A 1,770-nucleotide genomic window follows, 5' to 3' on the forward strand; every position below is an offset into this window, starting at 1 on the left:
TGTGATACTTCCAGGCGTTTGACAAATACCTGTTCCGTGGTCAAATCATTTGGGGAAGCCATGTGTCCTATATCCTATTCTTGAGGGTTTCATAAAGCATCCCTGAAGAATCCTGCAGGAAACAAACCTGTTTGATTTTGCTTAACCCAAGGTTTCCCCGTCATTTTGATAAGAAACCCTTTTATCCCAGGCAACAGCAACTCTGTGGCACTTTTGGCTCTGTGGTTATTGCTACTTACAGCTATAGAGGCTATTCAGGGTCCTTATGCCAACCTGCCTTCATACTTCCTGGGGCCCTTAAGAGAGAGAAGATTAACAGGAGAGCATCACCAGCATGGGAGAGCAGTGATTCAGCTTTGCTTTGCCACAGTGTCAAGGAGAAAAATCTGCATCCAGCCTTCTTGTTCACTCAGGTCCTCAGGTGCCTGCCCAGTGCCCCCAGGACTTAGGGGCTGTCAAGGAAAAAAGAAATCTGGACTTAGCAAGAAGAGACTTCTGTTCAAAAGGGTTATTGCACACTGTGTTGGGCAGGAAGGTAGGAAAAGGACTCTTGCAATGGGGGCAGGAGACTATTCCACTAGGAGGAGGAAGAGGACAATCGCAATAGGAGTAGGGGGACTATTGCAACAGGAAGAACACTCTGACCATAAAATCCACACAGTTCCAGAGTTAGTCTACAGGCAGTAATAAATGCTGGCCAAGATGTGGAGAAAAGGAAACTCTTGCACACTTCTTGTGAGAGTGTAAATTAGTACAACCACTATGGAGAACAGTTTGGAGGTTCCTCAAATCTAAGAACTGATCTACCATATGATCCAGCAATCCCACTGCCAGGTATACACCCAAAAGAAAAGAAATCAGTATTTGGAAGAGATATCTACACTCTTTTGTTTATTGCAGCATTATTGACAATAGCCAAGATGTGGAAGCAACCTAAATGTCCATCAACAGACGAATGGATAAAGAAAATGTGGTACATATACACAACGGAATACTATTCAGCCTTAAAAAAAGAATGAGATCCTGTTATTTGCAACAACATGGATGAACTGGAGGTCATTATGTTAAGTGAAATAAGCCAGGCACAGAAAGACAAACTTTGCATGTTCTCACTTATTTGTGAGAGCTAAAAATTAAAACAATTGAATTCATGGAAAGAGAGTAGAAGGGTGGTTAGCAGGGGCTGGAAATGGTAGTGGGGGTGGTGGGGGTGGCGCATGTTGAAGGGGTTTGAGGGTGGTTAATGGGTATAAAAATATAGTTAAACAAAATGAATAAGACCTACTATTTGACAGCACAACTGGGTGACTACAGTCAACAATAATTTTTTCTATATCTTTAAATAACTAAAAGAGTATAATTGGTTTGTTTGTAACACAAAGGAAGGATAAATACTTGAAGTGATGGATACCCCACTTACCCTAATATGATTATTACGCATTGTATGTCTGTATCAAAATACTTCATGTACCCTATCAATATATGCACCCACTAAGTACCTATAAAAATTGTTAAGGCCAGGCGCGGTGGCTCTCCCAGTGGCAGAGGTGCAGAGGATACAGTAGAATAAAGCCAGACAAGATCTCTGCTTTTGCAGTGCTTTAGTGAATTGTCTTTCATAATGAATTTCTAACTGCCTGCCTTTGAGCAAGTCCTCTTTGTACTAGGAGATCTAGAGAGCCTGATAATGATAGTGAAGATGACAATGTCAGCTTACATTTATTGAGCACGTACTATATCCCAGGCATTGTTCTAAGTGCTTTGCATGTA

The sequence above is a fragment of the Homo sapiens genome, chromosome 7, assembly GCF_000001405.40.
Source record: "Homo sapiens chromosome 7, GRCh38.p14 Primary Assembly".
NCBI classification, from domain to species: Eukaryota; Metazoa; Chordata; class Mammalia; order Primates; family Hominidae; genus Homo; species Homo sapiens.